Below are 14,780 nucleotides of genomic sequence, written 5' to 3'. Positions count from 1 at the left end.
TATATAAGATATGGATAACATACAGCTGAGAATTAAAGAAAATATAATAAAAGCCTGACATAAAATAAGTACTCAATAAATGGTAACCATTAGCAGTCACAGTTTCATTTAATTCGCATACTTCTATAATTCTCGACAGCATACCACTAGTACAGTGTTCAGCATAGATTAGGCTATGAAGTTCACTAAAGGCCAAAGGTTCATACTGTACCTTCGGGGGTAAACAAAGATTTTCCTCCAACGTGTGTTTTACTGCCCAGTGGGGGTAGCCTGTCTTTATCTCTAAAGTTAACTATAGATCTTTAGCATTTTATCTAACCCTTGAAGGAAGTATTTTTTAAAGCTATACTTATATTATTAAAAATAATAGAGGCCGGGTGTGGTGGCTCACGCCTGTAATCCCAGCACTTTGGGAGGCCCGAGGCAGGCATATCACTTGAGGTCAGGAGTTCGAGACCAGCGCCAACATGGTGAAACACTGTCTCTACCAAAAATACAAACATTTGTCACGCATGGTGGTGGTGACCTGTTATCCCAGCTATTCGGGAGACTGAGGCAGGACAGTCACTTGAGCCCGGGAGGCGGTGGTTGCAGTTAGCCGAGATGGCGCCACTGCACTCCAGCCCCTGAGTGACAGAGGGAGACTCAATCCCAAAAAAAATAATAATAATAATAGATATCTTCTTGTCTTTTCTGCAGTCCTTCATCAATGATGCTGGCAGGGATGGATTCTTAACTGTGGTCACTGAGATCATTCCAAAGGAAGTAAAGACAAAAATTAGGTTTCTTCTCTTTTTAAACAAAAATTTTTTCCTCCCATCTCCAGGTAGGAGTTAGGTAACAATTACTGTTTAGAAAAAAGGGGGCTGGGTGCAGTGGCTCACGCCTGTAATCCCAGCTCTCTGGGAGGCCAAGGTGGGCAGATCACTTGAGGTCAGGAGTTCAAGACCAAACTGGCCAACATGGTGAAACCCCATCTCTACTAAAAATACAAAAATTAGCCGGGCATGGTGGTAGACACCTGTAATCCCAGCTACTCAGGAGGCTGAGGCATAAGAATCGCTTGAACCCAGGAGGCGGAGGTTGCAGTGAGCCAAGATAGCACCACTGCACTCCAGCATGGGCAACAGGGCAAGACTCGTCTCAAAAAAAAAGAAAAAGAAAAACAGCTCTTCGTTAATGGGTAGGATGCAATAAAGGCCAAAAAAAAAAAATGAACAGTTTTCCAGAACCAGGGCTTTGGTAAAAATGCTGAAGTGCTTTGAATTTCAACATACAAATGCATGTACAAAATTACATTCTGTAGTAGTTTTTTTAAGAAAACAAACCTATCTGTATTGTTCCACATTTTTAAACTGAGATAAAATTTTCCAACCTCATTACAGAAAATTACTAAGGAAATATTAATTGGTTTCATTTTAGTCTAAACAAAATAAAACTAATACTTTTAATACATCCTCATAGGAAAAAAAATTCACACAATACAGATAACTGTAAAGTGTTCCACTCTCCTGACCCACAGAGGTATCTGGTAATACAACACATTTTAAAATAAAATTTAAATGATGCTTTTAGAACAAAGTCATGTCCTTTACAGCAACATGGATGGAGCTGGAGATCATTACCTGCTAGTTCCCTAGTAAACTAATGCAGGAACAGAAAAGCAAACTGCATGTTCTCTTTTGTAAGTGGGAGCTAAATAATGAGAACACATAGACACATAGACAGGAACAAAAGACACTGGAACTTACTTGAGGGTGGAGAGTGGGAGGAGGAAGAGGATCTAAAAAAAAAAAAAAACTACCTATCGGGTACTATGCTTAGTACCTGGGTGATGAAATCCGTACATTGAAACCCTGTGACACAAGTTTACCTATATAACAAACCTGCATATGTATCTCAGAACCTAAAAGTTAAAAATAAACAAAAGTAAAAAGAGTTTTAAAACGATGTTTTTATAATACCATATAGTGTTGTCAAACAGCTACAATATTTCTCCCTTACTCTAACAGGCATAAGACAGTTTTAACACCATAGCTGACATACTCTCATCATATAAAAAAAGCACTTCAAATGCTACATTAAAATTAAATAATTTTCTGGCGTTATTTTTCAAAAAGTATACAATAATAGTAATGTGATGAAAATTTGGACTACATTTTACCTTTAGCGTTCCTCCTTTCACCATAACTTTCTGTCTGGCAGGCTGGACTCCAGTCAACGCAAACAGCTGAGCCTTGAATACCATTGGAGGTTCATCTGTATTCAATTCTACACCTTCAAATTTCTCCTTTCCCCATTTTACAGTAACTGCAAACAAAATCACAATTTTTTTAATTAAAAAATAACAAGACAAGATTTACAGACCCTTAGAAGATCACCAATTAGGCAGTTATCGGGAGTCAAAACATGTCATTCATCTTTCTATGCCCATAACACTTACCTAATCAAGAGGAGCATGCATGCAGTAGGTGCTGAATAAAATTTCACTGGATCAAACCTAACTTCTCATTTCATAGTTAAAGAAACTGAGACTTCAGCAGGCTGGGCGTGGTGGCTCACGCCTGTAATCCCAGTACTTTGGGAGGTCGAGGCGGGCGGATCATGAGGTCAGGAGTTCGAGACCAGCCTGTCTCTAATAAAAATACAAAAATTAGCCAGGTGTGGTGGCGCACGCCTGTAATCCCAGCTACTCAGGAGGCTGAGACAGGAGAATCGCTTGAACCCGGGAGGCGAAGGTTGCAGTGAGCCAAGATCACGCCACTGCACTCCAGCCTGGGCGACAGTGCGAGACTCCATCTCAAAAAAAAAAAAAGAAACTGAGACTTCAGAGAAGTAGATTGATTTGCTAATGTCATAAAATTGGTTAATAAACTCCCAAGTCTTCTGAATCCTACTCCAACAATATGATCATATTGAAATATTTCCCAAAATGATAAGTTTCGCAGCCCCCATGTGTTTAATTGAAGAATCATTCACATCAGCACACAGCATTGGAAAAGAAGAGAGAGAGAGAAAGGTTAGATAGTTTAAGAGAAGAAGAAAAATTCCTGGGAGAATAAAGCACATCTAGAACAACTTAAGGAATACAGATTCTGAGTCATAAGAAATCTGGGAGAATTGAAAAGTGTCATTTCTGAACAAGAGGTGCTCAATTAAGAAAAAATCCAAAGACATATCTAAATCATTTAAAAATATATAGAAATCCCACTTCACAGCCATTAGAATGGCTATTCTTTTTAAAATTTAACAGAAAATAACAAGTGTTAGCAAAGATGTGGAGAAACTGGAACACTTGTACACTGCTGGGGGGAATAAAAGTAAACATAGAATTACCATATGATCCAGCAATTTCATTTCTGGGTATACCCAGAAGATCAGAAAGCAAGGACTCAAACAGATATTTGTACACCCATGTTTACAGCAGCATTATTCACAACAGCCGAAAAAGTGGGAGCAACTCAAGTGTCCATCAACCAATTAATGGACAAAGAAAATGTGGTATATACATACAACGGAATATTATTCAACCTTAAAAAGGAAAGAAACTCTTATACATGCTGCAACATGGATGATTCTGGTTATATGAGATACCTAAAGTGGTCAAATTCATACATACAAAAAGAGAATGGTGTTTGCAAGAGGATGTGAATGAAGGTGACAGTTACAAAACACTGTGAATATATTTAATGCTATAGAACTGTATACGTAAAAATCATTAAAATGGTAAACTTTATTACATATATTTTACCACAATAAAAAATTTCAATCAGCCTCATAAAATAGCTAACTTTTGAAATATATATTTTTAAAACCCAAGGATATATATTGTTTCCACTGAAAATTTTATACCTTCTCAAAAATAAGAACCTCACAACTGTTAATTGCTTTCCAACTCCTGAAATCAGAATTTGAAAACCTCACTCAGACACCAAATCCCAACTCTATCATCAGTTCAATTAATATGTTGAGTATTCATTTAATGACAAGCCCGGTACAAAGCATTGGGAAGACTCTCCATAAACTTACAGCCTAATGGGGGGGTGGGAGGAGGCTAGAGTAATTAACTATGTAAGTATTACAAAGGCTACAGCAACAAAGTGGAATGCTTCATAAATGAGGAAAGATTTCCTGGATGAAGTGTTAACTTCTGAGTTATCACTATCAATTTTGAATCTCAAGAAAAGATTAGGTGTTAGTCAGAGACTAGGAGAGGACAGAAGAATTCCCAGAAAAGAAGGAAAACATTCCACAGCATAAAGCAGCATGGTGTGTTCTAAGATGTAAGTAATTAATTACCAGAGTGAAGGGAAAGCAGCAGTAGATGAAACTGGAAGCTGGCTAAGGATCAAATTATGGAAGATAAGTCATCCTAAATCATACATAAAGAGGCCGGGAATGGTGGCTCATGCCTGTAATCCCAGCACTTTGGAAGGCCAAGGCAGGTGGATCACCTGAGGTCAGGGGTTTGAGACCAGCCTGGCCAATACGGTGAAACCTCGTTTCTACTAAAAATACAAAAATGAGCTAGGCATGGTGGCAGGCGCCTGTAATTCCAGCTACTCGCGAGACTGAGGCAGGAGAATCGCTTGAAACCAGGAGGTGGAGGTCGCAGTGAGCCAACATCGCGCCATTGCACTCCAGACTGGGCAACAAGAGCAAAACTTGGTCTCAAAAAATAAAAAAAAATAAAATAAAATACGTAAAGGCTTTATGTTGTAGGCAATGTGTAATTCCTGAAAGGCTGTCATAAAGGCCACTTTAGTCTGGTTTGAATACTATTAGATCACTTGCAGCAGCAGAGAAATCAGGCTTGAAGAAGGCATACTGTAATCACTAAAATAAACTAGAAGCATATTACAATAGTACAAGCTAAAGATGCTACAGGATTAAACCAAAACAGTACTAGAAGTAAAGGAGAGGAACCTACCTGAAATTTATTGTGCTATTGCCATGAGCAAGTTACTTAAAACTTTTTGCTCATGCTTACAAGAGGAATTATACCAGTATCACAGGATTACGTTGAAGATTAAAACAAAGCAATATGTACAAAACCCTAACTCTATAAGAGGCACAGGTGTGTGTTTATTTTTAGAGACGGGGGTCTTGCTCTGTCACCCAGGCTGGAGTGCAGTGGCGTGATCACAGATCACAGCACCCTCTAACTCCTTGGCTCAAGTGATCCTCCCAACTCAGCTTCCCGAGTAGCTGGGATTAAAAGCATACATCATGGCCCCTGGCTTTAATTTTTAACTGCACTTATCCTTAACCATTTAATAATCTAGATATGTAATTTTCTTTTTTTCTTTTCTTGAGACCCAGTTTCGCTTTTTTCACCCAGACTGAAGTGCAATGGCGCGATCTTGGCTCACTACAACCTCCGCTTCACAGGTTCAAGCGATTCTCCTGCCTCAGCCTCCCCAGTAGCTGGGATTACCGGCACCTGCCACCACTCTCGACTGATTTTTTGTATTTTTAGTAGAGACAGGGTTTCAACATGTTGGCCAGGCGGTCTCGAACTCCTGACCTCAAGTGATCCGCCCGCCTCGAGCCTCCCAAAGAGCTGGGATTACAGGCGTGAGCCACCGCGCTCAGACTAGATACTTAATTTTCTACTAAATCTTATGAAATAGTACTTAAAATGTTCTCTTCATTTTAATATAGAGCTTTTTGCTGACCCTCAAAATACAGATTCTCAATATGGAGAGGTCAAAGGAAGGGACCTTAGAAATCTACTTGAGTTCCTTCATTTGGGGGATGAGGAAAAGATCTGATTAAATATTTAAGATAAAGCTCAAATTTTAAAAAAGAAACTCTGGTCAGCGCTGGCATTTTGAGGAAACAGAGGGGTTTTGTTTTATGTGTGTGAATCTACTGGTGTGTTTAAGTATTAGAATATTTCAAGAGCCATTCTACTGTTGTTATGGCTTTAGAAAGGGGTTGGGCAATCATTAAGAATTCGATTCAAGATTCTAGACCATCAAGAATCCACCTTGAGATCAAACAATACTCTTGATTCGTATCATGCTTTGTAAATGCTGAATCTTCAATAAAGGAACTGTAACAGAATAAACAGGGATGGTCAACGAATCACACACCTACAGCCAATTGGAGACACCACACATATTTTAGGTGCCATTTTGAATAAGGCTAGGGAGCAGCAAGGTCCATTCCCTAAGTAAAAGTGATCCCTGGCCAGTACCCTGGACTGTCAGCAAGCAAACAATACAAGCCCCTGTCAAACGCCAATCAAGAAATGACACCCCGGGGATATGTGTATTCATCTACTTCTGAAAGCTCACACCACGTTTCGGATACAGAAATCCAATGCAACGTTTGATGAAACGAAAACGAAGCAAAAAGGTTTACAATCTGCCTCGGGACAAAACTAAAACTGGTACCAAAGGGGCGGTCGAACAAAGGCAAGGGGCAAGAGAAGGGCGAAGGACGACGAAGGGCGGCGAACGCCGCTTGGCAACCCCAAGAAGGGTCGCTCCATCCCTCCCCTTCTTCCCCGCTCCCTTCCACGGCGACCACTGAGAAGCCCAAAGGAATCTCCCTGCACCTCCAGCCTGGCCCAGCGCCCCAGGACACACCCTCACTTTCACCGCACACCAGGGCAGCGTCAGAAACTATTCTGCAGAGTCACGACTTTGAGAGGCTTCCCCATCTCCACTCCCCCCACCCATCGGTGGCTCAGGGGGACGGCGCTCCCCTGCCACGCAGGGCTCCGACCCAGCCGGGAGAGGGGACGGTGCCTGGGTCATCTCCGCGCCGCCGGCCCCGCGCACCCCACCCCGGCCCCTCCCAGTCCATGCCGGGTGCCCGCCCGTGCAGGCCAGGCCTACGCGGAGGCCTAGCGCCGGTCCGGTGTGCTGCGCGCGAGGCCAGGACAGGGCTCACCGGAGTAGAGCGGCATGGCGGGGCGCGGCGGGAGGCGGCGGCGCAGGAGAGCTGGGCCTGACGAGGGCGGCAAAGGGACGGGGACCAGGAGCAGCTGCGGCGGCGGCCGAGGCGGAGGCGCGGTGGTGGCGGCGGCTTCGGTGCGACGAGTCTCATTCAAACCGGCCACTGGCGATGACGCAGCAACACGCAAAACACCCGTGCAGCTCCGGAGCGACTGCAGCGAGGAGACTGGGCGGCAGGACCGGGGCGGGGCCTAGAGGTGGCGAGAGGAGGGAGGAGGGGGAAGGCGGTGGAGGGGTGGCGGGAAGGAAGGAGGGAGCAAGTGAGGGACGGGCGCGGGGCCCCATCCACCGCAGCAGGTGCGCGCCTGCGCACTGCCGCCCATCGCCCTGCGCGCACTGGCCACGTGGTCCTGGCGCGGCCCAGCCCTGCGGCAGATGAAGTGGGAACTTGGTATCCCACCTGCTGTCTGAGGCTGAGGCGGGAGAATCGCTTGAGCCCAGGAGGTCGAGGCTGCAGTGAGCTGTGATCGTGCCACCGCACTCCAGCCTGGGCGACAGAGCGAGACCCTGCCTCAAAATAAAATAAATAAAATTAGTGGTTGTAAAGTCAGAGGTGTTTTGAAACCCAGCTGTTACTAGCTAGCTGTATGATGTCTGCAAACCTCAGTTTTCTTTTCACCCACACCTCATTTTATTGCGTTCTATATATATATATTTATATATTTTTATATATTTATATATTTTTATATATTTATATATATTTATATATTTATATATATTTATATATATATATATATAAATTGAAGGTTTGTGGCAACCCTGGGTTAGTAAGTCCATCAGTTCTGTTTTTCTAACAGCATGTGCTCACTTCGTGTCTCTGTGTCACATTTTGGTAATTCTCACAATATTTTGAACTTTTTAAATACTATTATATCTGTTCCAGTGATCTATGATTACTATTTTAGTTGTTTTGGGGTGCCACTAACCACCCCCGTGTAAAACAGCTAACTCCAATGTTTTGTGTATTCTGACTGCTCTGGCAACAAGTCTTTTCCCACAAGGGTTCAAGGCTTGAGTTCAGGACACAACTGCAGGTGTGGTGGCAATAGCAAGAGAACTAGAATTAGAAGTGGAGCCCACAGATGTGACTGAATTGCTGCAATCTCAAGACAAAGCTTTAATGGGCAAGGAGTCGCTTCTTATGGATAAGCAAAGAAAGTGGTTTCTTGAGATGGAAACTACTCCTGGTGAAGACGCTGTGAACACTGTTGAATGACAACAAAGGATTTAGAATATCATAAACTATGGAACTGTTGATAAAACAGCAGCAGAATTTGACAGGATTGACTCTAATTTTGAAAGAAATTCAAATTTGAAAGTTCTTCTGTGGGTAAAATGCTGAACAGCACTGCATGTCACAGGGAAAACTTTCATGAAAGGAAGAGTCAATCGACGTGGCAGATTTCATTATTGTCTTATTTTAAGAAATTGCCACAGCTACCCCAAACTTTAGCATCCACCGCTCTGATCAGTCAGCAGCCATCAACATTAAGGCAAGCCCTCTGCCAGCAAAAAGATGATGATTCACTGATAGCTCAGATGATCCTTAGCATTTTTTAGCAGTAAAGTTTTGTTTGTTTGTTTTGAGACAGGGTCTCACTCTGTCACCCAGGCTGGAGTGCAGTGACGCAATTACGGCTCACTGCAGCCTCAACCTCCCAGCTCAAGCTATCCTCTCACCTCAGCCTCCTGAGTAACTGGGACCACACACGGCTAATTTTTTTTGTATGTTTTGTAAAGACGGGATTTCGCCATGTTGCCCTGGCTGGTGTTGAACTCCTGGTCTCAAGCAATCTGCCCACCTAGGCCTCCCAAAGTGCTGGGATTACAGGCATAAGCCACTGCACCCAGCCTTGACACTAAATAGACTACAGTATAGTAGAAACATAACTTTTATATGCACTGGGAAAACAAAAACTTTGTGTGACTCATTTTATTACAATATCAGCAATATTGCAGTGGTCTGGAACTAAACTAGCAATGTGTTCAAGCTGTGCATGTAAAATGGAGATACATCTCAGGATTGTTATAAGGACTAAATAAGATTATGTATAGAAGATTCTTAGCACAGTGCATTGCACATGTGCTATGATACCTATTTTATATTACACAGTAAAACTTCAAAGGGATTTTGCAGGGTATGTTAGAATAGCAGGCTATGGATAGCTTTATTTTCTATTTTTTTTATGTTCAGTAACATATTTCTATAACATACATATTTAAAAATGTATTGCATAGATTGCCCGGGCACCATGGCTTACGTCTGTCATCCCAGCACTTTGGGAGGCCAAGGCAGGTGGATCACTTGAGCTCAGGAGTTCCAGACTAGCCTGGGCAATGAAGTGAGACCCCCATCTCTACAAAAAATTTAAAACTTAGCTAGGTGTGGTGGTGCACTCCTGCAGTCCCAGCTACTCGGGAGGCTGAGATGGGAGGGTAGCTTGAACCTGGGAGGCAGAGGTTCCAGTAGCCAAGATTGCACCACTACACTCCAGCCTGGGTGACAAAGCAAGACTCTGTCTCAAAAAAACAAAACAAAACCAAATAAAAATGTATAGATCATCTGTGGAAAAATCTGTGCTGCCCTTTGTTGAAGCTGATAGTAAAGGAGGCCTAAAGATTGAGAGATTCAGAGGCAAAAATCATCATCCTGTCTGCTACACTCACATTGCAACCTGCGCTTTTTTGTTGTTGTTGTTTCTTTTTCTTTTTGAGAGAGAGCCTTGCTCTGTCGCCCATGCTGGAGTGTAGTGATGCAATCTTGGCTCACTGCAACCTCCGCCTCCCAGGCTCAAGTGATCGTCATGCCTCAGTCTCCTGAGGAGCAGGGATTACAGGTGTGTACCACCACGCCTGACTAATTTTTGTGTTTTCAGTAGAGATGGGGTTTCTGCTGTGTTGACCAGGCTGGTCTCAAACTCCTGGCCTCAAGCTATCTGCCCACGGCCTCCCAAACTTCTGGGATTATAGGCGTGAGCCACCATGCCCGGCCAGCTTTTTCTTTAGTAACTCTCATCACACTTCTATTTTTTTAATGTCTGTATTCCCCCAAGTACACTATAAACAGGAATCGTGGCTATCTCGTAGGCACTCAGGAATTACTTGATGCTGTGAGAACTGGATGTGAAAGTTACCTATTTGAAGTTTATTCATCATGTAGATGACCAGGGAATCTTGTAGACCAAGTTTTGGTCCCTTTGGTACAACTAGCTTCTTCCAGCCTCTCTGAAGATCCGCAGACCTAAATTTAAGACAAATGGGGGCAGAGTGAGGAGGTGGAACCATGCTAGCAACTGAAAGGAAGCATAAAAAGAAATTTGCACAACTGGCCTTCCTAAACGTCAGAGTTAAAGATGACAGCGACCTCATCGCCATGACACACATTGCTAAGCCCTGCCCTCCATGTGTTTAATGGATGGGATTTTCTTCTTAAGGGTGACTTCTTTAATGAATAAATTGGTAAGATCTTAACCTGCATGTTTATACATAAATAAGTTCTATAAAACATAGCCAAATATCAGAAATGTTTTCACTTGGTGAATTACCTACAATTTATTGCTTAGAATGTACCCTCCTTCCTCATCTGGCCATGGGAAATCCTGTCCAACTTTAAAATCTCCATTTAATGCTAACTTTTTCACATAAACTGAAAGCCTTCTTATACAATCACCCCTTTGTGTCAAATACTATTATGTTTTATTATGGCTGATTTAGTTTCCTATGAGTGCTGTAATGAATTATCACAAACCTAGTGGCTTAAAACAACGTAAGTTTATTATTATCTTACAGTTCTGGTGGTCAGAAGTCTGAGACTGGTCTTAACATTAAGGTGTTGGCAGGACTGCATTCCTTCTAGAGGCTCTGAGGGTGAATTCTTTTTTTCTTTTCTTTTTCACACAGAGTCTCACTTTTTTGCCTAGACTGGAGTGCAGTGGCACCATCTCAGCTCACTGCAACCTCCGCCTCCTGGGTTCAAGCGATTCTTGTGCCTCAGCCTCCCAAGTAGCTGGGATTACAGGCACGCACCACCACGCTAGCTAATTTTTGTATTTTTAGTAGAGACAGGGTTTTGCCATGTTGGCCAGGCTGGTCTCGAACTCCTGACCTCAGGCGATCCACCCGCCTCGGCATCCCAAAGTGCTGGGATTACAGGAGTGAGGCACCGCACCTGGCCTCTGAGGGTGGATCTATTCCTTACCCTTCCCAGATTCTAGATACTGTCCACATTCCTTGGCTCCTGGCTCCATTCCAGCCACAGCATCACTCCAACCCCTGCTTGAGTCGTCATAGCGCCTTCTCTGACTCTGACCTCTGCCTTCCTTTTAGAAGGTCCCTTGTGATTACGTTAGCCCCAACTGGATAATTCCAGATACTGTTTTCATTTTAAGATCCTTAATCACATCAGCCAGTCCCTTTTGGAAGACAACCAAGATAATCATAGGTTCAGGAGATTAAAACATGGACATATTTGTAGAAGTATTTTTCTGTCTACCAAGGACAGACAATAAATAATAAAACAGAAAACAACAAATATCACTACACCTTCTTAGAGCATCTACAGTTTAATATTCCTATGTTTCTCTCTTCTCTCTCTACTAAATTATAAATTATAAGCCCTACCAGGTGTAGTGGTTCATGCCTGTGATCCCAGCTCTTTGGGAGGCCAAGCGGGGCAGATCACATGAGGTCAGGAGTCCGAGACTAGCCTGGCCAACATGGTGAAATTCCAGCTCTACTAAAAATATAAAAAATTAGCCGGGCGTGGTGGCATGCGCCTCTAATCCCAGCTACTTGGGAGGCAGGGGCAGAAGAATCACTTGAACCCAGGAGGCAGAGGTTGCAGTGAGCCAAGATTGCGCCATTGCACTCCAGCCTGGGTGACAGAGCAAGACTCTGTCTAAAAAATAAATAATAAATAATAAACTATAAGCCCTGCCTTAAATAATTTGGAATCCTGCCGGGCACGGTGGCTCATGCCTGTAATCCCGGCACTTTGGGAGGCCGAGGCGGGCGAATTACTTGAGGTCAGGAGTTCGAGACCAGCTTGGCCAATGTGGTGAAACTCCGTCTCTAAAAATACAAAACATAGCTGGGCATCGTGCCGGGCACCTGTAGTCCCAGCTACTCGGGAGGCTGAGGCAAGAGAATCACTTGAACCTGGGAGGCGGAGGATGCAGTGAGCTGAGATCACACCATTGCACTCCAGCCTGGGCAACACAGCAAGACTCTGTCTCAAAAAAATTAATATAATAATAATTTTGGATCCTACACACACATATACACACCATATGCATACGCACACACACACACACACACACACACACACACACACACACATTCTATAACCTAGAACGGTAGTTTGCCTAAAAAGGTTTTCAATAAGTATTTCCTGGCCAAGTATGGTGGCTCATGCCTGTAATCCCAGTGCTTTGGGAGGCCGAGGCAGGAGGATAGCTTGAAGCCAGGAGTTTGAGACCAGTCTAAGTAACAGAGACTTTGTCTCTACAAAAAAAAAAAAAAATTAAAAACAGTAGCTAGGCAGGGTGGCTTGCCCCTGTAGTCCTAGCTATTTGGGAGGCTGACGCAGAAGGATCACTTGAGCCCAGAAGTTCATGGCTGCAGTGACCCAAGATTGCACCACTGCACTCCAGCCTGGGCAACAGAGTGTGAGACCCAGTCTCCTAAAAGATTTTTTTAAAAGTATTTCCTAAATGAATTCATAACCTAGTTTTGGGTCAACAGATGATGCAAATTATATTAGGTGAATGCTATGCTGCTATGGCAAAGGTGCCTCAAGATTAAGTTGCTTATTTATTTATTTATTTATTTATTTATTTATTTATTTATTTATGAGACAGAGTTTTCGCTCTTGTTGCCCAGGCTGGAGTGCAATGGTGTGATCTCGGCTCTCCGCAAACTCTGTCTCCCGGGTTCAAGTGATTCTCCTGCCTCAGTCTCCTGAGTAGCTGGGATTACAGGCATGTGACACCACTCCTGGCTAATTTTGTATTTTTAGTAGAGATGGGGTTTCTCCATGTTGGTCAGACTGCTCTCAAACTCCTCACCTCAAGTGATCTGCCCACCTTGGCCTCCCAAAATGCTGGGATTACAGGGGTTAGCCACTGTGCCCAGCCAGATTCAGTTGCTTATTGAAGATAGAAAGTTATGCAGGAGCCACGGAAGTGCAAGTACTTGCATTATGAGGTTGTTTATGGACCAACATTCCATCTGTAAAGCTCCTCTGCTACCCGCTAGAGCAGTGCTTCTTGAAGGTGAATGTGAACATGTATCACCTGGGATCTTGTTAAAATGCAGATTCTGATTTCCTAGGTCTTGAGTGGAGTCTAAGATACTAACAAGCTCTCAGGAAACAATAATACTCAGTCTCAAGTACTTACTACTTGAGTAATAAGCTGTGAAGGGGCTTGTCTTTTACTTGGTTGAAGATGGGTTGCAGGATCCAAGTTTCAGCCCCTAAGAAGAAGAAATAGAAGACAAAAAGGGTACAAGGCAGCAATTTCATTTTAAGCAAGAGGAATGTGAGGGATGTCCCCAGATCACTCCCATTCACATTTCACTGGTGAAAACAGTTATGTGACCATGCCTGGCTACGTGCAAGTCTGGGAAATATAGTCTCTAACCTGTCACAGGTATACACTTCCTAATCCTATTACAATGCAAGAAGGACAGAATGGATTTTGATGAAAAACCAGCAGTCTCTGCCATGCAGATGGTGGTTTCTTTTATCAATAATCTTCAAGCTTATAAAGTTTTCCTAAAACAAGTGATCAAACTCCTGGTGATTTAGTTTTCTCAACTGTAATATGAAAATGATCATATCTGTCCCTGGACCCTCTTAGAGTTGTAAGGTATAAATGCTAGTTGAGAGCATATATGTCAGGAATAATTATCAGATAGAGCTAAACCACAACAGAACAAATAGCAGAGGCACTCATCTGTTTATATATCTACATATGAGTAGGCTAAGTTCTAGGCTAAGTTCAATTCCCAAAGTTTGCATTATTAAAGCCAAAACAGAAATATATGATTTGCAATCCTCACTCTCAAAACATTTCTTTTAGAAACAAAAATCTCTACAGCTGGACATGAATAAACTGTCTGGCCTTATCCCTAATATTTCTTTACCTATATTACCTCAAATTCAATGATGCTTGGCCAGGGACAGTGGCTCACGCCTGTAAACTCAGCACTTTGGGAGGCCGAGGTGGAAGGATCACTTGAGGCAAGGGGTTCAAGACCAGCCTGGGCAACATAGCAAGACCTTGTCTCTAGTTAAAAACAAAACAAAACAAAACAAAACAAAAAACCCGAGTTCAGTAATGCATGCTTGTAGTCCCAGCTACTCCGGAGGCTACAGTGGGAGGATCACTAAAGCCAGGAGGTTGAGGCTGCAGATAGCTCTGATTGCACTACTGCATTCCAGCCTGGGCAACATAGTAAGTCCCTGTCTCAAAAAAAAATTAAATGATGCTTGAAAATACTGTGCTTTCTTACCTTCCATTGTTTTCCCCACGCTACTACCTCGGAATGTTCTTCCCAATTCCTCTCTACTTATTTCTCACCTCCATGATGCAAACCGTGAACTTTTCTCTGCTTATTTAAGCAATTGCTTTTTGTATCACTCAACATTTTATTACCATCTTTAAATATTTACTATCTTTTAACATTTAATATTTACTATCTTTGACATTAAACATTTAATATTTACTGTCTTTTTATGTGTATAGAGCAGTTATATTATCTTTCTTTTCTTTTTTTTTTTTTTTTTTTTTTTACTTGAGACAGGGTCTC

At 42.7% G+C, this 14,780-nt stretch overlaps 1 protein-coding gene and 1 long non-coding RNA gene across 3 annotated transcripts in view, besides 2 other annotated features; both read right to left on the bottom strand.

The window, feature by feature from the left end:
- USP14 (ubiquitin specific peptidase 14) overlaps positions 1-7,061 on the bottom strand; it is a 56,073-nt gene extending 49,012 nt beyond the window's left edge. For both annotated transcript variants that reach the window (NM_005151.4, NM_001037334.2), the window contains exons 1-2: positions 6,904-7,061; positions 2,165-2,310 (exon numbers count right to left, since the gene is read on the bottom strand). In NM_005151.4, coding sequence (NP_005142.1) covers positions 2,165-2,310; positions 6,904-6,919 — 162 coding nt within the window. In that variant the 5' untranslated portion in view covers positions 6,920-7,061. The remainder of the gene's footprint in view (positions 1-2,164; positions 2,311-6,903) is intronic.
- Positions 6,670-6,849: a silencer, noted in NCBI's record as "silent region_9237". NCBI's record gives its function as "represses an Ori minimal core promoter by ATAC-STARR-seq in GM12878 lymphoblastoid cells {active_cell/tissue: GM12878}" and the evidence as "EXISTENCE:reporter gene assay evidence [ECO:0000049][PMID:35858748]".
- Positions 7,120-7,389: a silencer, noted in NCBI's record as "silent region_9236". NCBI's record gives its function as "represses an Ori minimal core promoter by ATAC-STARR-seq in GM12878 lymphoblastoid cells {active_cell/tissue: GM12878}" and the evidence as "EXISTENCE:reporter gene assay evidence [ECO:0000049][PMID:35858748]".
- LOC105371951 (uncharacterized) lies at positions 7,449-14,206 on the bottom strand. The gene is made up of 4 exons (XR_935081.2): positions 14,124-14,206; positions 13,367-13,442; positions 10,103-10,209; positions 7,449-7,475 (listed from the first exon to the last, which is right to left on the bottom strand). It is a non-coding gene; the product is annotated as an uncharacterized LOC105371951 (long non-coding RNA).
- Positions 14,207-14,780: the final 574 nt, after the last annotated feature.

This window comes from Homo sapiens, chromosome 18 (assembly GCF_000001405.40).
Source record: "Homo sapiens chromosome 18, GRCh38.p14 Primary Assembly".
Classification (NCBI taxonomy): Eukaryota; Metazoa; Chordata; class Mammalia; order Primates; family Hominidae; genus Homo; species Homo sapiens.
This window is presented reverse-complemented; position numbering and strand designations above follow the sequence as displayed.